The sequence below is a fragment of the Homo sapiens genome, chromosome 2 (assembly GCF_000001405.40).
Source record: "Homo sapiens chromosome 2, GRCh38.p14 Primary Assembly".
Classification (NCBI taxonomy): domain Eukaryota; kingdom Metazoa; phylum Chordata; class Mammalia; order Primates; family Hominidae; genus Homo; species Homo sapiens.
This window is the reverse complement of record NC_000002.12, coordinates 217,314,980-217,338,944: the sequence shown is the minus strand read 5'-3', so window position 1 is coordinate 217,338,944 and position 23,965 is coordinate 217,314,980. Positions and strand designations below refer to the sequence as shown.

The following is a 23,965-nucleotide window of genomic DNA, read 5'->3' as shown; positions in this document are numbered from 1 at the left end:
TCACAATTTTAAACTAAGCCTGAGGAAAATGCCCTAGAATGACCCTGGTGAAACTACAAATAAAGGAAAATTCAAAGTATTTCCCTTGTGTTAAATGGAAAATTGTTAGGGATGAAGATGCCAGATTGAAAGATGAAAAGAGAAAAAAAATCTAATCAGGAAATGCAAAAGCTAAGGTTTTAGCAAATTAGCTCACCCTGATGACTCATCCCAGATGTATTAAGTTCACATTTAACAGCCTCTTCATTGAAGATACAAAATACCATCTGTCTGTTGCCGATGAGTTAATGTTAGTCTCAAAGCCTTAAAGTTCACATTTCCTAATTCTTTTGTTTGGAAATAAATAACCTTTATGTTGCAGTGGGAATGTAATTTTTCTTTCTTTTTTTTTTTTTTTTTTGCCCAATTGAGAGGAATAAATACAAAAATTCCAAAACGAAGCTCTCAGGTTGTGAAATGTTCTGTGGGTCAAAGACGCCTGGCTCTGTGTACAAGCTGCCTCGCCTGGATCCATCCCTGGGATTCTTTTTAGGATTATGTTACTTGCCTCTTTAGCCAAATCTCAATTCTTCATTCAAGTTGGGCCCACATGCAAAGCTGAAATGGGAAATACCTGTCAGGCCTCAACCTTGATTCTCAGAAAATGCCTCCAAGGGCAAAATAATAGCCCTTCCATTTATTCCGACCCTCTTTCCTCAACAGCGTTTTTCTTTTTTAGTAGAAAAATGCTATTTGGCTTGTGCCACAATATTTGGCCTTGCACATTTTGGGCACTTCAAGTAGGAATAGGGAAATAATGAAGACGATTCACCGATAATCTTCTCTATACAAATACAAGAAGAATCATAAAAGGGAGAAAAAACTGGCTGTGCTTTTGAGATCCCAGGGACCAAACTATATATCATAAACACTGGATCTAATCCCAAGATTTGGTTTCAGTTCCAGCCCAGTCACTAAGTCACCAGTGACCATGGGGAAGTGACCTCATACCCTGGGCCCCAGTTTTTCCTTCTTCAAGTGATGGGAGAGGACTGAAATTGTCTAAGGCCATATATCCATTGCATTGATGCAGAATGCTTGGATTTAAAAAAAGAATTTTTTTTTTTTTTTTTTACAGACCCTCATGTTACTTGGTGAGCGTGGTGAGCTCAAGACAAATACTTTGAGAAATTTTGTTCCAGGCTCTCTACACTTAAATTCTTTGCATTCCAGGCCTCCCCAAATTAAGTCTCAATGTAGCTTTTCAATTTCTACTTCCACTTCTTCCCTGCTCCTGGACTTTTAGTTTCCTGCAAATATCTCTTATATTTCTTCTCCTTCTTTGTTCATGCTGTTCTCTCTACTATTCTTGCCTTCTACCTCTGCTTACCAAAATCCTACTTCAACCCGTAATCATGAATGTATTTTTTCAATATGTTCTTCCTGCTGTCCCTGGATTTTTCTTTCCTAGCAATTTAATGTATTAATATGTTCCTCCAATCCTGGGTTTCTTAACCTCAGCACAGTTGACATTTGAACCTGATACCTTTTGTTGGGGGGCGTTGTAGGGAGAGAGGGAGAGGCCTGTCCTGTGCATTGCAGGACATTTAGTGGCATTTCTGGCCTCTACCCATTAGATGCCAGTACTACTTCCCTCTCCCTAAGCAGTGACGAATGAAAATGTCTCCAGAGATTGCCAAATGTCCCCTGATGGGGTAAAATCACCCTTGGTTGAGATTCACTGCTCTAACCCTCTATTCTATCCATAGTATAAATGGGTTCAAAATCAGGCAGTCCTGAGTTTGAATCCTGGTTCCATCACTTGTTACTCTGTGACCTTGAGGAAGTTGCTTAACCTCTCTGAGCTTTAGTTTTCTTATGAATAACGTGAAGTGAACAGTTTCTGGCTAGCAGAATCGTTGTGTGGGTATGAGTTTTAGAAGAGATTCAGACATAGTTGGGATTGTTTGACGATCTTTGAGAAGTTGGTTGCAATGACCCTTAGGAGTTTTTAAGAGATACCTGCTTCTCAAGGAAGGACTTGAATGCTTAGCAACAACCACAACAAAATATTTGTGTAGGGACTACTATGTACCTACCAATGCTCTCAGCACATTGTATACATTACATAAATTAAAGTAACTCATAACAAAACAATGGCTGGAGAGTGAGGAGTGATTCTGATATTTTGGTAATTTATATTCAGTCAACAGTGGTCACAGCTTCTACTCACTCAGGCGTGGGTTGTTAGGAGTGAGAGGACTGTCACTAAATGCTTATAGAACAGTTTAACTAAACACTATATTATTTGTCACCCAACTTTCACTGCCATGGACCCCTCTCCTGCCCCCACACAAAGGGTATGGAATCATATTCTCCTCTACCTCATCAAACTTCTCGGAAAGCTCAAATGGAGAGGGATGGTGAGCAGTGGCTGAGGAGTAGCAGCTCCCAGGAAGAGCACTCTTGGTGTTGCGATCTTTGAATGACGTCTTGGGCTCCATGGCGCAGCTGGACAGACAGATGTGTACAGATGGACGGCCGCAGCGGTGCAGCTGCAATGCCCAGCGGAAGCAGCAATGTTCAGCACTTCAGAAGTAGCACTGCCTTACCTGGGTGGCACTGGTGGCCTCTGGGGCGAAGCCGCTGGGCCTCCTGCAACAGTGATAAAGTCTCCAGCAACCTGTGGGGAAAGGCCTTGCAGAAGACACTCTGGAAACAGAACAATTCAGGAGGCCGGCCAGCAGTGAGAGGTCCCGCATCCACTGAGGTGAACAACAGTGCCGTGGGATGTAAGTTGTTTCAAGTATCAGATCCACAGACATTATGTACTGAGCCACACCACTTTTGGACTCTAGAAAATATATAATACATCTAGTATTGTGGGTTTCTTCCCTTTGTCCTTGAGACAGGTAGAGTGATTCTGAAGCAGCTGAAATCGCCCACCATCTTCACTTGTTCATAGGGCCAATCTTGCTTGAGAGAATTTTGTTCATTATTTCCATTGCCTATCAAGCACATGGCAAAAAACACGTATTTAGAAATGTTAAGTGATTTATACTAAGCAAGGAGGCAAGTGTATACTCTGAGTGTCACTTCACATTGAGCTTTGTTTTGAGTTTCTAACCTTCAGTGCAAAGATGACCTCAGTGACAACACTGTGACTCACGTTCACTCCTGTACTAAAGAAGTTGCCCTGTGGCCTCTAGTTGTTACAGTGTTCCTGAATGGCTTTAGAAAAAGTTAATGACTACCTAATGTCATTAAAATTAATGATCATACTATCAATAAAGTAATTATCAATGTCATTAAAATAAATAACAAAGGCCATGGCAGACTCAGCCATAGCATCTGAGCATTCACATACCTTTTACCCAGGTAGACCAGTGCAATTTTATTCAAATACAATGATGTGTCATGTGGTTGTTATGAATGCAGTTGATTAGATATTTCTGGCTTTCTGCCTTCTGGGTTCACGGTGGGACTGCATTTCTTGCTCGCCTTCTTCAGACTGAGCTGGTACCAGATAACTAGTGTTGGCCAATGAGTTGTGAGTAAAAGTGATGCGTGTTACTACCATACTATCATATTAAATTGCTGGTACAAAACCATTCAAAGATCTCTTTCCTTTTGCCGATAATGACCAGGCAGGGACTGCCTCATTGGGCTAGATCCTTCAGTGAGGGTGATACAGCACAAAACCTACAGCCAAGCCACAAGGGATGTATAGTACAAGTGAGAAATAAATCTTTGTTTTAGGCCACTGATATTTGGGAGGACAGGACTGTCACCGAAGCACAACCTCCCTCGTACTGAATGATGCATGCTAGGAATTACAACCCAGCCACCTCTCTCCTTTCAGTGAAAGCCCCAGAACAGCTCCAAATTCTGTAAAGCAGAATTCAGAATCTTTTATTTTTCACTCTTGCATCTACATCTAATTTCCACTGACCACACTGTACTTGCCTAGATCTTAGGGTCTGGGAAATTTTCCATTCTCAGTTTGTATCTACCCTACATATCCACATGTAAGGGAACATGTGTTTAAAGATGACAGAGACCCTGGAGCACATTCAGACCACTGGTGTTAGGAACCTTGCATTATACCTCCATTTGCATAATGATACCTTGCTAGGACACAGTGACTTCTGTTTACTTCACATAGATTATCTCATTCAATGGGCTGATAGTTTTAATCTGACTGGTTTGGTTTTCATTACAAAGGGAAAGATCACAAAGCCATTTGGTGTAAAAAGGCAGAATCCTTCCAGATCTTTTGTTCCCTCCACATGGTTCCAAGCCCATGCTTAAATGCAGGGTGGAGTAATGATACCAGACACTGCAACCCAGAGCCCCAGCAAGGGATCACTATGTTGTAGTATTTGGAAATCACTGGTGATATACACTCATCCCAAACCTGACCCCAACCTCCTCCTTCTAACCAGGTAGGTAGTCCAATTTAATCTCTCATAACATTCATGATCAAAATGAAAATGTATATACTTTTGTCCCTAAGCTAAAGAGCTCACTTAAGAGATTCATAATACAGGCCGGGTGTGGTGGCTCACGCCTGTAATCCCAGCAATTTGGGATGCCGAGGCAGGCAGATCACCTGAGGTCAGGAGTTTGAGAACAGCCTGGCCAACATGGTGAAACCTCGTCTCTACTAAACATACAAAAATTAGCTGGGCATGGTGGTGGCGCATGCCTGTAATCCCAGCTACTTGGGAGGCTGAGATAGGAGAATCGCTTGAACCTGGGAGGCAGAATTTGCAGGGAGCTGAGGTAGCACCACTGCACTCTAGCCTGGGCAACATAGCAAGATTCTGTCTCAAAAAAAAAAAAAAAAAAAAAAAAAAAAGAGAGAGAGAGATTCATGATATATAGTCCTAGAATTTGGAATTAATCTGATTGAACAGTTTCCAAATACTGATCCACATGCTGCAAGTGCAATTTCTTCTTTCTTTTGCATTCTTCCTTGCTTCCTCCCTCTGTTCTCCAGTAACTATTCACCTCTTCCCTTTCTTGCCTTGCTTCTTCTCTTCATTCCTGTCATTCATATTATGGAATATAGTTTTCTGGGCCACAGCATGATTTGAAACATGGGAGGGTGATCCACTTGCCCACCTAGCACAGTGTCTCTTTCACAGGATTCTTTTTACAAACAATTATTTGGCCTTTGTTTGAAGAGTCCAGTGCTCCTAGGTTTTTAAAGGAGCCCATTCTACTTGATATTTTTAGTAGTTACATAGTTTTCCAGTTTTTAATATTAACAAATTGGCAAAAGCAAGCAGGCTATTCTGTGTGAGACTCATCTGCCAAGTAACCTCAGTATGTCACTTTCCAGGAGCAAATAGTTCATGCATCTCCCACTCCCAAGTAATGATTCTCTGATTTTAAAAACCACAAGGGCTCAATGTCTGAGACTACTGCTAAGGGTTTTAGTATGCATTTTGCATTTCAATAAACTAATAGGAAGTAGGCTCCAAATTGGATGTGGTATGCAAGAGAGGGCAAGTTTTGAAGTTCTAAGAGCAAGACAGTTGGCAGCTGTTCTCTGAAGTTCTCTGCTTCATCTCAGAAAGGGCTTTTGGATGGCCTGTGACCATACAATTCCACCAGATGATCTGCTCACTGGCCTGCAAACAACCTGGCCTCTCCATCCTCAATATTTAGCTCCTGCTATTCCCTGTGCCTACAACTTTCCAGAACTTTTCCTGTATTATTCATCTGGGCTTCCGCCTTATATTAGAATTGTCAGGCCTCTGAGCCCAAGCCTGCACGTATGCATCCAAATGGCCTGAGGCAATCGAAAACAACAAAAGAAGTGAAACAGCCAGCTCCTGTCTTAACTGATTGACCAACCTTAAGACATTCCATTATGACTTGTTCCTGCCCTGCCCCAACTGATCAATCGATCGACCTCATGACATTCTTCTTCTGGACAATGAGTCTTTTATGATCTCCGCACCATGTGCCTTGTGACCCCCCTCCTCCGCCAGCAATAGATAACCACCTTTTACTGTAATTTTCCATTACCCACCCAACTCCTATAAAGCAATCCCTTCCCCACTCCTTCACGGACTCTCTTTTCGGACTCAGCCCACTTGCACCCGAGTGAAATAAACAGCCTTGTTGCTCACACAAAGCCTGTTGGTGGTCTCTTCACATGGATGTGCTTGACAAGAATATCAATATTTTTGCCTTCACTTCCTGCTCAACTTCATAGCAATACTAAATTGTTATCAATATGAAAGCAAGAACTACATGTGACTTATTTTTTAAAAATCTTCATCCAATTTCCAACACAGTGCCTTGGGTTCAAAATGGGCTTTCAGGGCGGGGCACGGTGTCTCATGTCTGTAATCCTGGCACTTTGGGAGGCTGAGGTGAGAAGATCTCTTGAGGCCAGGAGTTTGAGACCCACCTGGGCAACATAGCAAGACCCTGTCTCTACAAATAATTTTTTAAAAAAATACCCACACACCTGTAGTTTTATATACTTGGGAGCCTGAGAAAGGAGGATTGATTGAGCCCAGGAGTTGGAGGCTGCAGTGAGCTATGATCACATCACTGAATTCCAGCCTGGGTAACAGAGCAAGTCCCTGTCTCTTAAAATAAAAATAAATGGGCTTGCAGTACCAGAAAAAAAAGGGCCATTACAGTTTGTGACCTAATTCATTCAAAGGGGAGGTCACTCACAATAGGAATTTCACACAAAAGAAGGAAGCACCCCATCACACATTGTAATTGAAAACTGTGGCTCAAGAATCAGCTGGACAGTTTGCCCTTCTAAAGCAGAAATGTTTAGGCAAAGAGGACAAGCTGATTAAAGAGGCAAAGAGGACAAGCTGACTGAAGAGGCAAAGAGGACAAGCTGATTGAAGAGGCAAAGAGGACTGCTGAGGAGTGATGGAGGAGGAAGATATGTAGGAACTTCCCTGAAGCCCTTATGTCACTGACTTGCCAATAAATTGGTTTAAACAACAATAACAACAACAACAAAAGCAACATGTCCAGGCCTAAATCTGATCCTTCCCTCAGACAGACAGTCACAGCAGCATGTAGGCTGGGAGGCCCATTCTGTGCCCTCTGGTATGACCTTAGAGGGCAGGATCAGCAATGAAATCCTGGCTAGAGGAAACAAAGACCATGTGTAAACAGTTCACCTCCACTCCTGAACTACAACACTGTTTGACATAGTTTAAGAGTGACGTTGACCTTCTTCTGCTGGCTCTGGAGCTAGCCAGGAAAAACAGCAAGAAAGGAATGAGAGGAATGAGAGTTAGCAGGTTACTGGTCTGCAAGATGTCCTCAGGGGGGTTTGGGGTTGGTGCAATGGTGAGGGCAGCCAGGGAAGTTCCTAGGCCTATTGTCTTCTGCCAGTGCCCCTGCTAATCGCTGAGAAAACTCCCCTGAGCCACATGCAACGATGAAGTAGGTAACAAATCATCCACATCTCTGCATAAGGCAGTTTTGCCACTGAAGGTGTTATTTTTTTACAGTTGTCTAGTTTAATATCTCTTTGGTAATGACGGATGTGCAAGGAGTGGCAGGAAACTTTACCTAATGGTGGCAGGACAGGGTGAGTGTGTGTGTGTGTGTGTGTGTGTGTGTGTGTACATATCCACCACCCCCAACACATGGGCCCCTCGAGAGCTTCCTCACCTCTCATTCTCCTTTTCAGAAAGTTCTAGACCTGTGAATAGCACATTATGCTATGTTGCTTTATTGTATCACTGTCTATAATGACATAATTCACATACTAGCTAAATCTTTTAGTAATTCAGGATAAGCCTTTTTCTCCCTAAATAGTTGTTAACATCTGGAAGGCTTTACAGCCTTTTCCAGATCTTTTGTGCCCTTTCATGCATGGCATAGTTCTGGGCATATGGGGACTACTCAGCGGATATTTGTGAATAGGCTCATTAAGCAACTTTATTACCTGATATTGATAGAATTCTATAATTTTCACTACACTATGACGTTGAAATGAATCCTAAGGGCTTATAGCCAAATCGGGAGAGACTGTGCACAGCAGTCCACTTCTTATGGCATTCTGTGTGTGCGTATAAGTGGACACACCAGGCCGCGCTGTTGAGTAGATGCGCAGGGGTGGCTGGATGGACTGCCTGGTGACTTTTTCCTTAAGCACTCAACCGAATTGTCTAACTCCTAAGTGGGTGATGAGGCAGGAGAACAGTGTCTGGAGGCAGGGAACCTAAGGCTGTTTCACGCTGACTTCCTAGAACTAACTTGAAAACCCTAACTTTCCACGCCTAAGTAACAAAAGGACCAGAGGCTACTCCCTTTGACCTTTTCTGCCGGGCAGATGAGAAATTGGCTGTCCACCACAAATCAGACTGATTGCAGGTCTAGTCTTTTTTCGCATAGAAATATAACTTTGTAACTTCACCTTAGCCTCTGATTGGTTGTTTTTTGCAACCAATCGGATGTTTGCACAGGAGTGTGACCTTTGTAACTTCATTTCAGTCTCTGGTTGGCTGCTTTCTGCAGCCAATCAGAGTGATTGCCGGCTACCGCTTCATTTACTTCAGGTGAGCATGAAGTGGCCAATGGGAAACTTCTAGGGGGTATTTGGACCCAAGAAGATTTCTGTGTCTGGGCCCTTGAGCCACTGCATGGGTCCGCTTCCACACTGTGGAGTGTACTTTCGTTTTCGATAAATCCCTGCTTTCGTTCTTTTGTTGCTTCATTCTTTCTTTGCTTTGCTGGGCATTTTGTCCAGTTCTTTGTTTAAAATGCCAAGAACCTGGACAAGTTGAAGTCACAACCCTCTACCGGTGACAGTGGCATATGTTTAATGTAAACACAATGTTAATAAGAACTAACATTTATTGAGCACTTATTATGTGCCAGACACATCCCAGGCTCTTTCCATTAATTAAATCCTTGCCACAAACCCTGTTGTTATCCCTGTGTTAGAGAGAAGAAAGGCTGCCCAGCCCCTGACTTCTTGTGAGGTGCATGCCTGTCTTTGAACCCAGGGAGCCTGGATACCGAGCCCCAGCTTTTAATCCCTGAGCTGTTGAAGAAAAATACATTTGTTCATGTTCGTATGTTATCTCTTGATCTGTCTCGAATAGATATGAAAAAAAATTTTTTTTATTTTGTTGTGCTCTCTGACCATAGTGTCAAGCAAGTATAGGGCCAATGTTGGGCACCGGCTTGGGATGTAGAGCTGTTGTTCAGCAGCTTGAATCTATGCACACAGAAAGCATGCTCAGAAAGGAACATATTACCCATTAAAGATGAAATGAGGCTAATGGACTGCTTTTGGGAAAAGATGAAATGTGGTCACAATGAAAGAATAGGGGCATGACCATAATTAATGAAGTAATAATCACTTTTGAGCTTAAATAAGACCTAGTTCTTTGATTACAAGTGCTACCATTTGAAGAGAGCTGGCAGGGCCCCTTGGCCTGTGGTCAATATTAGTAAAACTGTTTCATCTTAATGTTGCAGTTATGCTTGATCAATTTATCTGCCATTTCCAAAGAACTTATGAGGTTTTCTTCTTCCTGTCTTTGTGCTTTCAATTGGTTTTAATCAGAGGCGAGATGCTGATTCAGCTTCTAGTTTGAATTTATTCAGCTGGTGCAAAGATTCCGTGACAGGATTGCATTTACATTTTTATCACTGTCTCTTAAACCTGAATAATTTATCCTGTTCTTGCCAACCCTCCCCCAGTCATCGTACAAAACCAGAAAGGAGTTCTTGCTTTTATAATCAAACTTATTTTGGATGTGCCTGGGTTTTGTCATGGACTTCTGACACCCTCTCTTTTTCATCAGGGCGAAGTTTACAGGAAAGCATTTTCTTTTCTTCCTGCTGATTAATTCAGCTTAGATTTGTCAGAGGTTTATTTGTATGGACTCCTTGTCAAAGCATGTGGATTCTACAACAAATTAACTGGTTATTAAATTAAAGATTTCTGGTTAAGAATCTGTTGTGTACCATGGAGTCTTCTTTCCTGGACAATTTCACTATTTAAATGTGGGAATGATTGTCTTGATATAACCAACAAATTATGTTCATGGAAAGAAATGTTTCCCGTCATACCAATAACTGAGATGTTACTGGTTATATATACATATACATGCTCAGGCATACACTGGTGTATCAGACCTGAATAAAATTATTCCATCTCTTTGTCTGTTAAGAAAAAACAGAAATGAATAAATGCATGTCCATGCACATGCACAGCTATTCAAGTCAAGGCATTTTAGTGTAGGATGTTAGAAATACATGAGTGTTTCCTCGAACTGGAAAAAACCCCACTTAATTTATTATTTTATGAAAAGATTCACCTTGGGGCCCATTAAAGAGCTCCTTTTGTATATTTAAAATAGATTTTGAATTACCAAAACCTTAAGAATTACTCTGTCTCTTTAAGGGATCTGCTTTAGGGCTAAGGCATATTGGGATTTATGACTCTAAGAGTGGTATTAAAATATTCAACTGAATGTTAGCTGATATGTTTCCTTCCCCACCCCAGGCTGCAACTTTCCCAGGGGATCTGAAGCCTGTAGCACATTGGGCTGTAGAGATTTTAACTTCCCAGTTCTAATAGGTTTCCAGATGGAAAATTATATTTCTTTCTGGGAGAGATTAATGAGCGAACAACAATGGTGTCATGGTTAATTTTATGTGTCAACTTGGTTAGGTTATGATGCCTAGTTGTTTGGTCAAACCCCACTGTGGATGTGGCTATGAATGTATTTGTGGGTGTGATTAACATTTAAATCAGTAGACTTTGACTAAAGCAGATTCCTTTACTCAAATAATGCAGGTTAATGTGGGTAAGTCTCATCCAATCCTTTGAAGGCCTGAAGAACAAAGAGTGAGGTTTCTGGAAGAAGAAAATTTTACCTCAAGCCTGCAATGTAGAAATTCTGCTTGAGTTTCCCGCCTGCTGGCCTGCCCTGTGGAATTCGGAGTCAAGAAGGTAATGTAACTCTTGCCTGCATGTTCAGCCTGCTGACTTATTCTACAGATTTCAGACTTGCCAACTGGCACAGTTGCATGGGGAGTTCCTTAAAATCTCTCTCTCCCTACCTTTTCCCATCCCTCCTTTTGTTCTGTTTCTATGGAGAACCTTGACTAATACAAATGGCAGTCAGTCTTCCTGCTCAGCACCTGCTGAGAAATGATACACCTTGTGCCAGCAAAGAAGGCTGGGGTCTCTCCCCTCAACATACTGTCTTTCCTTTTAATGAAAATGTTTGGTGTACTTTTCTGTTGTCATATCTAAACTGCAATTTGTAGCAGCTGATTTTCAGTGGGAAATTGTGAGATTTTTTGTCATTTCCTAGGACAAATCCTGACATCTTTGAACTCTGTTCCCATACCACCTCTTCCATGAAGCCTTCCCTGAGAACCCTCCCCATCACTTTCCTAAGGCTGCATTGGGTTTCCCTCTTCTATGTTCCCATAGTACCATCTACATGGATGTCCTTATCACTGTGTTTAGCATGCTGTATTATAAATATTTTATGTATGTCTTTTTCTTTCACTAATCTGAGCTCTTTAAGGCTGGGATTAGATTTTATGTTTGTGTCCTTGGTGGATAGCATAGCATCTGCCTAGAGTGAATGAAAGGAAGGTTTTCTATTAATGTTTCCATGTAATCTCTAGAAGATTCTCTCTAAAATCCTGGGATGGATTGGAAAGAGCATAAACATTTAAGTCAGATAGAAAGGTCGGGAGTTGGAGACCAGCCTGGACAACATGGCAAAATCCCATCTCTACTAAAAATATATATATAAATTAGCCAGACATGGTGGCACATGCCTGTAGTCTGAGCTACTTGGGAGGCTGAGACAGGAGAATCACTTGAACCTGGGAGGTGGAGGTTGCAGTGAGCTGAGATTGCACCACTGCACTCCAGCCTGGGTGACAGAGTGAGACTCCATCTCAAAAAAAGAGCAATGTCCTTCTTCCAGTTACCTCACTTTCTAACCAAGAGCTAGTCTTTCAACTTCTTAGGCATTCCTTTTTGATTCTGTAAAATGGAAATGATAAATTCTACCTGACTTATTGGATTATCTTAAGAATTAAGTGATGTAAGTGATCTGATATTCCAGTAAATGAGAGGTGTTATTTCCTCCTTCTACATCACTAAGCATTTGTTCCAGAACACTTATTTTAAGTTCCCTGAAGTTGAATCTGGAAAACAAACCAGTGATCTCTGGCTGTGCCCTAAGTTCCTACATCTTCCTTTTCTTACTAAGAAGAGGGCATGGGCACACTGGGTCCTGACTCAGCTCTTGTTCAGAACAATCTCTCATTCCAACTAAAGAAGGCTCCCTGGGGTCTCTCACTTGGGCCACCCAACTGAGTGCCAGCAGTGTCTAATTTTCAAGGCAGAGCAATTATTTTGTTTGCTCTCAGAGATCCCCTAGATTAGTGATTCTCAATGTGGTAATGATTTTGTCCCCTCAGGGGACATTTGGCAATGTCTGGAGATATTTTTGATGCCACAGCTGGGGTTGGTGAAATGCTACTGGCATCTAGTGTGGAGAGCCAGAGATATTGCTCAATATCCTACAATGCACAGCCCATCCCTAGACAACAAGGAATTGTCTGATCCAAAATGTCAATAGTGTTGGGTTTGAGAAACTCTGCTCTAAGTAATACAAAATTGACACTTTTATCTTCAATACACAAAGGAAGACGAAACAAGTCACAACTATACATCAAAAGAAAATTCCCTAGTAAATGTATTCATCTGCCTTTCTATTTCCAGACTTGACCACTACTTATTTATTCTCACTCTACACTAACATCATTATCTTAAATAATAGAGTTGTGTTACTGTAAAGCTAGGTGATATGAAACAAGGCAGCAGCTGTCTTTGGCAAGTCTGGCTCTGCAACTTTCTAGTCATGTGACCCTGGGCAAGTATTTTAACCCTTTCGATGCTCAAGTGCTGCATCTATAGGATGGAAATACTAATATTATCTATTTCACAGGAGTCTTGTAAGCATTAACTGAGATAGTATATGAAGAGTGCTTTTGCACCGAGTGAACCTTCAATCAACTGTACTAGTTTGTATGCCTGGAAGAGCTGCTATATGGGATCAGAAAGAAAAATAAGGTATGGTGATTGCTCATTAGGTGAAAAGTACAGCCTGGTCAGGGGGCACTCAGTGATCACCTGTGGGTGTCATTGTATGGACTTGCCTCCTATGTCCAACACAGTGAGGATGCGTCATCTCTAGAAAAGGGAGATTTAGTCAGGTGAGAGCCACATCAGTACAGTAATATTTTAAAGGGCTGAGGAAAAAGGTAGAACATGTAGAAAATAATTCCTTTTTCCATTCCTATCACCAGCAGCACACCCACATTCCCGTATTCTAATGATACTCAAAAATCCAGAGTGGGAGATTTGCTTAGTAATAGAGTCAACATGGTGTTGTTATGGAAAAATATTTTGTTCAATCAGCAAAAATCACTTGTCAGTTAAGCCTCTGGAACCATGATCCGGTTACTGATTGACACTGAGTAATGTTTCTCTTGGGCTTCTGGACAAGATCTGAGCTGCAGAGTAGGGCAGTCATGTAAATGTGCCTAATTGGTCAGGGTGAAAAGCTGTGAGCACTCAATCTGTCCTGGGGTTTAGGCTTGCCCAAGGGCAATTATAGGCAAATTAAAGGACAATTTTGTAGATAAATGACATCAGGAGTACATAACACTTGTCTGGTAACACTTGTCTGGTAACACTTGACTAATAACACCTACTCTGTATCAAAGCACAAGATGGATAGGATAAACTCTGGAATTTTATTTTTGCCAAGGGATTATTGTTAATGCTCATCATAATTCACAGATTGTCATGCCTTTCTTTTTGTTTGAGATATGTAAAAACTGTGGGGTGGTGAAAATAATCAGAAAACATCTAAAGTACTTAAAAGAAAAGGAGACTCTAGAAACAGGTTCCAATGCAGAGCCAAATTACACTTCCATATTTCATGCAAAAATCCAGTTTACTTCATTTGGACCTCTCAAACAAAAAACAAAACAAAACAAAAAAACACAAAGAGACTATATGATGGCCAGGCAGATTTGAAAAACATCCAAATAAAAATAAAAACTACAATCGTCAAAGTTAAACACTCAGTGTATTTTAGACACAGATGAAGAGATTATTATTTATCTGAAAGATATGTATGAATAAATTACTCACAATGCAACACAAAGAGACAAGGAAAGCAGGCAAGTGTGTTAAGGAATATGAAGACATAATGAGAATATATAATATACATTCAATAGAATTTCTGAAAGGAGAAGATGGAGAGAATGGAAGAGATTCAGTCTTTGAAGAGATAATAACTAAGAATTTTCCAGGACTGATTAGTGTATTAGTCTGTTCTCACGCTGCTATAAAGACATACGCAAGACTGCATAATTTATAAAGGAAAGAGGCTTAATTGACTCATGGATCAGCATGGCTGGGGAGGCCTCAGGAAACTTACAATCATGATGAAAGGCGAAGCAAACACGTCCTTCTTCACATGGCAGCAGAAAGGAGAAGAATGAGTGCCCAGTGAAGGGGGAAACCCCTTATAAAACCATCAGTTCTTATGAGAACTAGCTCACTGTCAGGAGAACAGGATTAGGGAAACTGCTCCCATGATGATTCAATTATCTCCATCTGATATCTTATTAGTTCTGTCCCTCTGGAGAACCCTGACTAACACAATCAGCAAACAACATTGATAGACAAAGGAAACACAAGAAAGACAAATTTAAAGCATACATAAATGAGATACATTGTATTGAAAATCTAGAACTCCAAGATAAAATCAGCCAGAGAGAAGACACTAAACTAAACTAAAAATGTGGGAAATTTAGACGTCAGAAGACTTCTCACAGCAACAATGGAAAACAATACTCAGCACAAAAATATCTCCAAAGAGCTAAGACAGAAAAAAAAAATTGTCAACCAAAAATAGTGTCCCCATCAATACTGTCTTTCAGAAATTAGGGCACAATAAATGCATTTTATACAAGCAGAAGCAGAATTTGCCACAATAGAACTTCATTTAAAAACTTATGAAAGAGGTATTGCAGGAAACAGAAAAATATTTTTCAGAGGGAATATCTGAGAAGCAAAAAGAAATAGTGAACAAAGAAATTGGCAAACATGTAGAGGTATTTAAACAGTTGATTGCGAACCATTCCTGCCTATTAGATACAATCACCTGAGTATGATTCTGATTTAAACAGCCTGGGTGGATCTCAAACATCAATATTTGTTAAAAGCTTCCCAGGTAAGCGCAATCTAGGATGAAAATCATTGATATTAATAAATCTTGTCTGAATTAAATTATATATATAGTATATATGTAACATATAAATACATATACAATGGTAATAATTACTGATGTGTGGGGTTTTAAAAGGACATATCCAAAATAGTGAATATCAAGCATATAAGTCAGGAAGGGGTTATGGAAGTTAAAATATTCAAAGACCCTTACTTTGTTCACAAGGATATCTAAAGTATAAATAAGCATTTTAAAGCTAACCGGGCATGATACATGTTAAAGGTATCTGCTTTAAAAATATTAAGTTATAAATATAAAGGTAAAATTGGAAAAACAGACGACATAGCTAAGACTAATATTCAATCTAAAAAAAAGACTGGGGAAAAAAACAAAGGTATAAAAAAGGAAACAAATGAGAAGTAAAAAGAAGACGGTAGAAACAATTCCAAATATAGTATGTCAGCAATCTTGCCAATGTGGCTGGACTAAATCCATCATTTAAAAGACAGAGATGGCCAGGCGCAGTGAGCCACACACCTGTGTACTTTGGGAGGCCAAGGTGGGGGAATCACCTGAGCCCAGGCGTTCGAGAGCAGCCTCAGCAGCATAGGGAGATCCTGTCACTACAAAAATAATAAAAAATATTATCCAGGCATGGTAGTGGGGCCCTGTGGTCCCAGCTACTTGGGAGGCTGAGATGGGAGTATTGCCTGAGCCTGAGAGGTCAAGGCTGCAGTGAGCTATAATTGTACCACTGGACTCCAGCCTGGGTGACAGAACAAGACCCTGTCTCCGCAAAATAAATAAATAAATAAGACAGAGACTTTCAATACTAGAGCTTTAAAAATATACAATGATACTCTTTACAAGAAACTCATCAGAAACATAAGGACATGAAATGTGTGAAAATCAAAGAGTGAAAAATGATGTAATGGAGAAAGACATAGCAGAAAAACTAATAACCACAATAAAATTTTGGTATACATCCAAAATAAAAGTAATTATCAGCAATAGAAAGAGTTACTACATAACAATGAAAGGATTAATTCCACTACATAACAATAAAAGGATTAATTCCATAAGAAGATTTAACAATTATGATCTTATATTTAATAAACCATGCTTAAAATAAAATTGATACAAATGTGTCATCATGAGATACTTCATATATCTAAATTATTAATTGGTCAAGAAGTAAAATAATATTAATAAATAATTACTTGTATTTTCAATGTATACCAGAGTTTTCTTTTGGTTATTAGTTTTGCTGCCATGTCTTTTTCCATTATTTCATTTTTCCTTCTTTTATTTTCAGACATTTCATATCTTTAGGTTTCTGATGTGTTTCTTTTCTTGTAAATAGTATTATTGTACATTTTTGAAACTCTAGTAATGAAAGTCTTTGTATTTTTTATGATGGTTATCATAACAAGAAGTATAGAATATTAAAACAAGGTTGATTTAATGGACATTAAAGAAAATTGTATCTAAAAAGTAATAATAAACATTCATTTGAAGCACATGTGAAAAATTTATGAAAATGGACCATATTGCAGGCCATATTAAGAAGTCTCAACAAATGTTTAACACGTAGATATCTATAGTTCATCTTCTCGGATCCAAGTGCAATTAAGATAGAAATGATTGGGGCTGGGCATGGTGGCTCACACCTGTAATCCCAGCACTTTGGGAGGCCAAGGTGAGCAGTGAGGTCAGGAATTCAAGACCAGCCTGGCAAACATGGTGAAACCCCATCTCTACTAAAAATACAAAAAAAAATTAGCTGGACATGGTGGCAGGTGCCTGTAATCCCAGCTACTTGGGAGGCTGAGGCAGGAGAATCGCTTGAGCCCAGGAGGTGGAGGTTGCAGTGAGCCAAGACTGTGCCACTGTCCTCCAGCCTGGGCAACAGAGGGAGACCCTATCTCAAAAAAAAAAAAAAAAAAAGAAATGATTAACAAAAAAAAAATTAAAATATATGCATATATTTATTAATTTTAAAAATTCTAAATAACATGAGTCAAAAAAGAGTAATAATAGCATTTAAAAAATTCTTACAATTAAATCATAAGAAAGCAGGGAAGTGTGTTAAGGAATATCAAGACATAATGACAATATCTAAAATACATCCAATAGAATTTCTGAAAAGAGAAGATGGAGACAATGTAGAATGAAAATACTACATATACAACTTTTAGCATCTAGTGAAAACAGTGCTAAGAAGAAAAATTATAGCTTAATATAATTATATTAGGAAAAAAGGTATAAAGTTACCTTAGGAAAGTTATATTAGGAAAAAGGGTATAAAGTTTTAGCCACTTAAGTAACTGAAATATAAAGAAGAATCCAAAACAAGTCATTATCAAATAAAACAGAATAAATCTCCGCTAGTAGAAGAAAGAAAATAATAAATATAAGAGTAAACTTTATGAAACAAAATTTAATCACACAAATAAATAAACCAACAAAGTACAACTTCTCTTCTATTAATGTTTTCAGAGAAACAACTTCTGCCAAGATTGAGAATGAAAGAGATGGCAGAAATAAAAATATTAGAAATGAAAAAGGAACATAACTATAGACATAGCAGAGGTATAAAAAATAGATAAGAACATGAAAAAGTTTGTGGCAAAACATTTGGAAACTTAGATGTAATGAAAAAAATCCTCAAAAAAAATTATTACAATGGACTCAAGAAGAAATAGAAAGCCTGAACATTTCTATAAAAATTTTTAAAATGCAATCCATTGCTAACAATAATTCTGGGAAGAAAACACAAGCCCAAGTTACTTTCTAAGCAAGTTTTGCAAGGCATAATTTAAAATAATCCTCAATGAGTACAGTGTGCACCCTACCCAATCTGAACAGATGTAAATTTTAAACAGTGGGTACAGGTAGGCTTATGTGTACTGAGTATCAGTTCCAGCATTTCACAACTTCCAAGAAAATGGTCTCTTGTAGGGATTATAAAAGAGAAAATTTTCCTTAATTCACTCTATAATCTTGATTCCAAAATCAGACCAGACAGAAGAAAAAGAAAAAATTACAGATCAATCATGCAAACATTCATATAAAATTGTCTACACAAAACATTAACAAAATAAAGTGAATGGTATATAAACTAAGGTATAGTATAATAAAATTAAGTTTACTTCAGAAAACAAAAGTAGTTGTTTCACACTAGAAATTTAGAAATCTAATTCATCACATGAACTGAACATCAGAAAATTATATATAACCATCTCAATAGAGGCCAAAAAGCATTTGATAAGATTAACACATATTTCATGGGTTTAAATATAATTATACATGTACATATCCTATATATACACATATGTATATATATAATCATGTTATGAGAATATCCTTATATAATTTTATAAGTATATTTTAAGTGTATATAATTTATGTATATAATATTTACTTACATAAATACATGGAGTTAGGTATAAATTATATATACACGCATATATGTATACAAATATACATTATATACTTATATATGGACATAGCTATGTATAATTTTAATTATATATAAATATACATAAGGATATATGGTAGGGCAAGTTCAATTACTGTATGCTTTTATTTGGGGAATGTCTTGGCTATTCCTGGCATTTTGTTCTTCCAAACAAATTTTAGAATAAACTTGATGATAAGTTTTTAAAAAATCATTTAGGACTCTTCTATGAGAATTATACTAAATGTGTAAATCTCTTTGAGGAAAAATTGCATCCTTGTGATATTTAGGTTCTTTATTCATTTAGATTGTTTTTCAGTTAAAAAAATTGAAAACATAAAATATCTTTATTTTTCCTATCCTTGAGATATGGAAGAAACATTTTCTTTCGTTTTTTTTTTTTTTTTTTTTTTTTTTGGTAAGAGACAGGATCTCAATCTGTCACCCAGACTGAAGTGCAGTGGTGCAATGATAGCTCATTGCAGCCTCTAACTCCTGGGCTCAAACAATCCTCCCGCCTCAGTCTCCCAAAGTAAGAATTTCTTAAATAAGACACAGAAAGGTTAACCAGAAAAGAAATGATTGATACACTTCGCTATAATAAAAATAAAATGTCTCTTTATTAAAAGATATAAAGAAAGTGAAAAGCCAGCCATGTATTATAAGAAGCTATTTTATTGATACGAGAATTAACAAAAGTTTAACCATTGAATATATGAAGAACTTCTACAAATATATGAAGGAAAATGTAAACAACAGAGAAATAAACCAGCATCTCACAGAAGAGAAAATACAAATGGAAAATAAGCACATAAAATGTTTAGACTTACTAATATTCAAAAAATACAAAGTAAGATAAAAATAAAATACCCTTTTATAGCTTCTAAATTGGCCATATGAAGAAGTCTGGTTGAGGAGAAAATAGGTTAAAGGAACTCATAAGTTGCTGATAAGAGTTTGCTTTGGAAAACAATTTGTCATTCCTTGTAAAGTTGAATATTTGCATACCCTAAGACTCAGTGATTTTACTTTTAGGTGCATACGCCAGAAAAAAAATACTTGCATATGAGTACTAGGAGATGCATGACAATGTTCACGGCAGCAGTATTCATGGCAGTGAAAAATGAAAAGAACTGAAATGCCCATTGATAAAAACGTCTACTTATTTGTGTCATCTTTGCACAGTGGAATTGTGCGAGTGGAAATGATTGATCTACAGCTAGGAGAAGCAGCAGAGCTCAATCTCAAAAACATAACGTTGTGTGGAAAAAGCTAACCTCAGAACACTTTGCGGTATGTGATGCCATTATTATAGTTCAGAAGTTAGCAATAGCACACCACTCCTTTATTGTTAAATATGTGTGTCACAAAATTATCAAAAAGGCAAATGAATTATAGCAACTGAATGGTTGGTTACCTCTGGGAGGTAGGGGAATGGCATAAGAAGAAATACATAGGTAGATAGAATGGAGTTCATAATGGTTTAGCTCTTAAATTGGAATGAGGGTACCTGAGTTCATTTTATTATTATGTTTCAACGCTTACAGACCTTATTTGGCATGCACTGGACATATATAGATATGTACATAAAGAAATAGCATAAGCCATGTTGTTGATAGCTGAGGCTGTAAGGAGTCTTATCTCCTACCAAGTGGGAGCACTGCTCTTTCTTGTTTAAACAGATTGGCTTTAATATAATGTCACTAGACAGCAGTTTCCAAATAGTTTTAATGAGAGTGGGCTTCAGTCATCTGAAACAAATCATCAAAATGAAAGCTTTGTAAAGAAGTTTCAAAGTAGATAGTGGAGGACATGCTTTAAGGAGACCCCAATAATCCACTCTTGTGTAATCCCCTTGAGTGTGGGTTTGTGACTTACTTGCAACCAACGCAGTGTGGCAAAGTTGTTGGAAGGACACTCCCTTGATTAGGTTGGTTTATGTTATGTAAAGTTATGTAGTTATGTAAAGGTGCTGAAATGTCACTCTTGTGATTATGTTTTATTATATAAGGCTCTATCTTAGCAAACCAGGAGAGAAATTCTCCTGATGGCCTTGAAGAAGCAAACAGCCACCTGGTTAAGCCCCTGTGGATAGTGCCAAGTGGCAGGAAAGTGGGAGCCACCTCTAGGACCTGAGGATTAAAGTCAGTAAGAGCTGGGACCTCACTCATGCAGACTCGAGGACATGAATTCGACCAACAACTTGAATGAGCTTGGAAGTGGATTCTTCCCTAGTCCAGTCTTCAGGTGAGAAAGCAGCCTGTCCAACACCTTGTTTGCAGCCTGGTTGGAGCCTGAGCAGAGGATCCAGGTAAACCGTGCTGGAACTCCTAACACACAGTAACTGTCAGATAGTAGAAGTGTGAGTTGTTTTGAAGTCGCTAGATTGGGGTAATTTGTTACACTGCAATGGATAACTAATACATGGATGTGTCCATTTTCCTACAACACAACACAGTGCTTAACTCATACCACTGTGTAAATGAATTTTGTGTGGTTGTGTGTGGCTAGATGGAGGAATGGAAAAAGTAAAACTAGCCCTCACCTCTTCAAACCCATCCCACCAGGATGCCGACCTAATGTTCCTGATAACAGAGGGAGACTCCTGTCTTGGGAGGTGGGTAAGGACGAAGCTAGATCCACGTCATGCTGTGAATTGCGAGGCATGGAAGAAGAAAGGGTCTGGACCTGGGTTGTTTTCTCAAGCCCTTAACACCTGAAGAAACATATTCTAAACAACAGGCATAGATTTATCAGGAAGTGAATGAATTTAAGCTTCAGAGCATTCACTTACAGCTGTTTCTTCCAGTGCCCTGGGATAGGACCTAACAATTTTCTATGTGTAATTTTGTATTAATTTCCTTGAGAGGGCCCTCATAAGACCCCGTAAGCTGAAGACTCCATAAACCCTGGGTCCATGTGCCGCTGATAAATTATAGGGAACAAGGAGTCTAAGGATTCTCCTTCGGGCCTGCAGAGCATCTAGTATGATGTTTGCTAATAGAGGTGTTAAATAAGTACTTAAATTAGATTGCTGGATTCCTGAGGGTTTCTCTTAAAAAATATTTCAGATCTAAAGATTTTGTTAATTAATACTTAAAAGTAGAATTATTGGTTGTGAACAATCATTTATAAATTGTCACAGTGTATAATTTTTACTTGTTGACTTGTGCATTTTTGTCTGTGTGGTTAAGCCCCCTATATCAAATATGCTATGTGAAATACTCAAGGTTTCCTGTTTCACTTCCGTTTTGTGGTTACTTGCTAATTCCTTTGGGGATATAGCACAGAGGCAGAGACTTAGACTGTGTCATCTACTGAGGTCCCATCCAGATTCAGGATCTTATGATTACTCTAGCCAGTATTTTCAGGGAATAAATTGTTTTGTGGAGGTGCAATATCTCTTCTAGTCCTGTTGGTATCATTTGATGATCTAGAACAAGTTCAAGTAAAAGCCAGAGGAGAAGCCTGAGCCATGAAAAACAGACAGAAATATCAGTCATAGTGGAGGTCCATGTTACTCTTGGTGGGTTTCTTCCCTTCTTGTCTTTGACTTGCTAGCTATTGACTTTGTATGCTTTTGCTAGTCCTTTGAATCCTAGTGTGTGGAAATTCTTTTGGTGGTCTTTATAACTATCTCCTCTTTTGGAGGTGATACACAATTACAGCCATACCTCCTTGACAATAATTTAATGAAAGCATTTAAATAATGTTGATTCCATAAAAATCATCCAGCTATTATTTCCTCTACCTTCTCCTTCAATCTGTCAGCACCAGAAAAAAGATGGGTCTTTGTCAAATCTCTGTTTTGACTTTCTTGCCCACCAAGTCCTTCCTGCTTTCTCATGTCTAAAAGTGTCATTAAAACCTTAATGTCTGGAAAGTGAGCTCCATTTTCTTCAGTATCTCCCAGAATCTCTGATCCCCTGCTGAGACAGGAGAGTTCCTTGACCCCTCGGTGGGACTTGTGACAAGGGTGTGGCTCGTTTACTCGGCTGCCACCCTCCAACCCCTTGTGGGAGCAGGAGTACACACGTGAGTGGGTGCAGCAGCTGGGGTGAGTACCTTTGGGCATTTGGCATAAACAAACCCCGTACCAGCCTGTGGCAGCATCTAGGGTTTGCCTGAGACCTCTGGAGCCCCAGAAAGCATATGTTACAAACAAGGCTCTTTCTTTTAGCTTTGCCATTCCTGGATGGCTTCAGTGTTAAACAACTCACTGAAGAGTCAGTGTGACAGCCTTTCTGGGTTCCTGCACCCAGTGCATCTTGAATTCTTTTCTTGTCCTGTGCCCAGGAAGAATCAGGTCACATGAAAGGATTGAAGGGTGGTGTATGCAGAGGATTTTACTGAGTGATGGGAGTGGCTTCAGCAGGATGGGGAGCTGGAAAGGGGATGCAGTGGGAAGGTAATCTTTCCCTGGAGTTCAACCATCCCCAGCTGAACTCCTCTCCAACTGTCCCTGGCTGAACTTCTCTCGACATTCAGATGCTTCTTCTTTTCTCTCCTTCTCTGTCATGCCACTCTGTTCCTCTGCCAGTGGAGCTTGGACTTTTTGTGCGTACAGGGTAGGGGGCACAGTGGGCCAGGGTGGTTTTGGAAAAGACAACATTTGGGTAGGAAAACAGGAAGGTATGTTGTCATTTAGACCCACAGGTCTAGGCTTGAGAGTGGAGCCCTTGCTAAGGACCCCGCCCTCTTCCTCCCAGTCTTTCCCTGCCTCCTGTCCATATCACTACCCCACCATTCCTTTGAGCTTTTGGGTCACTGCACAGACTACTTACTTAAGGCTTTGCATGCTTAACTTCTACCTGTCAGCCTCAAAGTCAAATCCAGGCTCTTTGTTGGAAACCACTCAGGGCCCTAGAAACTTATGAGCATATCTTGTAGGCACTCGGGCTTTAGTTCCCAGGGCCTCAGGCCATACACTTGTCTCATATGGACTCTTCTGCTACTGCTAGCATTTCTGTAATGTGAATTAATGTATACCATTGACATATGGGTGAATAATATCAGTATAACATGGAACAGTGGGAAGAAGGAAGAAAATAAATTAAAAAGTTTTCACTGCACTCAGGCCTTCTTCCTCAAGAAGTTCACCCCAGACGCTTGCTGGCAAATTGCAGTTGCTCTTTGGCCACCTTAAGAGCAGACCCAACAGCTCAGATCTCCATTATCATCAGCACTGCCCAGCACCCATCAGACCTGCTCTGAATGAAGGGCTGCCAACATG

General features: G+C 39.3%; 2 long non-coding RNA genes across 13 annotated transcripts in view, besides 2 other annotated features; one reads left to right on the top strand and one right to left on the bottom strand.

Annotated features, from left to right (window-relative positions):
- Positions 1–23,965, bottom strand: part of DIRC3-AS1 (DIRC3 antisense RNA 1) — a 61,472-nt gene that overhangs the window by 5,260 nt on the left and 32,247 nt on the right. The window contains exon 5 of the long non-coding RNA NR_133642.1: positions 2,364–2,987. This is a non-coding gene — a long non-coding RNA (DIRC3 antisense RNA 1). The remainder of the gene's footprint in view (positions 1–2,363; positions 2,988–23,965) is intronic.
- Positions 1–23,965, top strand: part of DIRC3 (disrupted in renal carcinoma 3) — a 506,425-nt gene that overhangs the window by 451,499 nt on the left and 30,961 nt on the right. For 7 of the 12 annotated variants that reach the window (NR_186293.1, NR_026597.2, NR_186304.1 and 4 more), the window contains 4 exons: positions 10,793–10,948; positions 12,975–13,099; positions 19,768–20,025; positions 20,744–20,979. This is a non-coding gene — a long non-coding RNA (disrupted in renal carcinoma 3). Of the gene's footprint in view, positions 1–2,338; positions 2,772–10,792; positions 10,949–12,974; positions 13,100–19,767; positions 20,026–20,743; positions 21,044–23,965 lie in introns of all 12 variants that reach the window. The other 5 variants (NR_186298.1, NR_186301.1, NR_186300.1 and 2 more) reach the window with 3 other exon arrangements.
- Positions 3,869–4,581: an enhancer, noted in NCBI's record as "NANOG-H3K27ac-H3K4me1 hESC enhancer chr2:218199087-218199799 (GRCh37/hg19 assembly coordinates)". NCBI's record gives its function as "activates a minimal SCP1, AML or CMV promoter by ChIP-STARR-seq in naive H9 embryonic stem cells {active_cell/tissue: H9 hESC(naive)}" and the evidence as "EXISTENCE:reporter gene assay evidence [ECO:0000049][PMID:30033119]".
- Positions 6,965–7,259: an enhancer, noted in NCBI's record as "tiled region #8768; HepG2 Activating DNase unmatched - State 5:Enh, and K562 Activating non-DNase unmatched - State 24:Quies". NCBI's record gives its function as "activates a minimal TATA promoter and a strong SV40 promoter by Sharpr-MPRA in HepG2 cells, with weaker activity in K562 cells {active_cell/tissue: HepG2 | K562}" and the evidence as "EXISTENCE:reporter gene assay evidence [ECO:0000049][PMID:27701403]".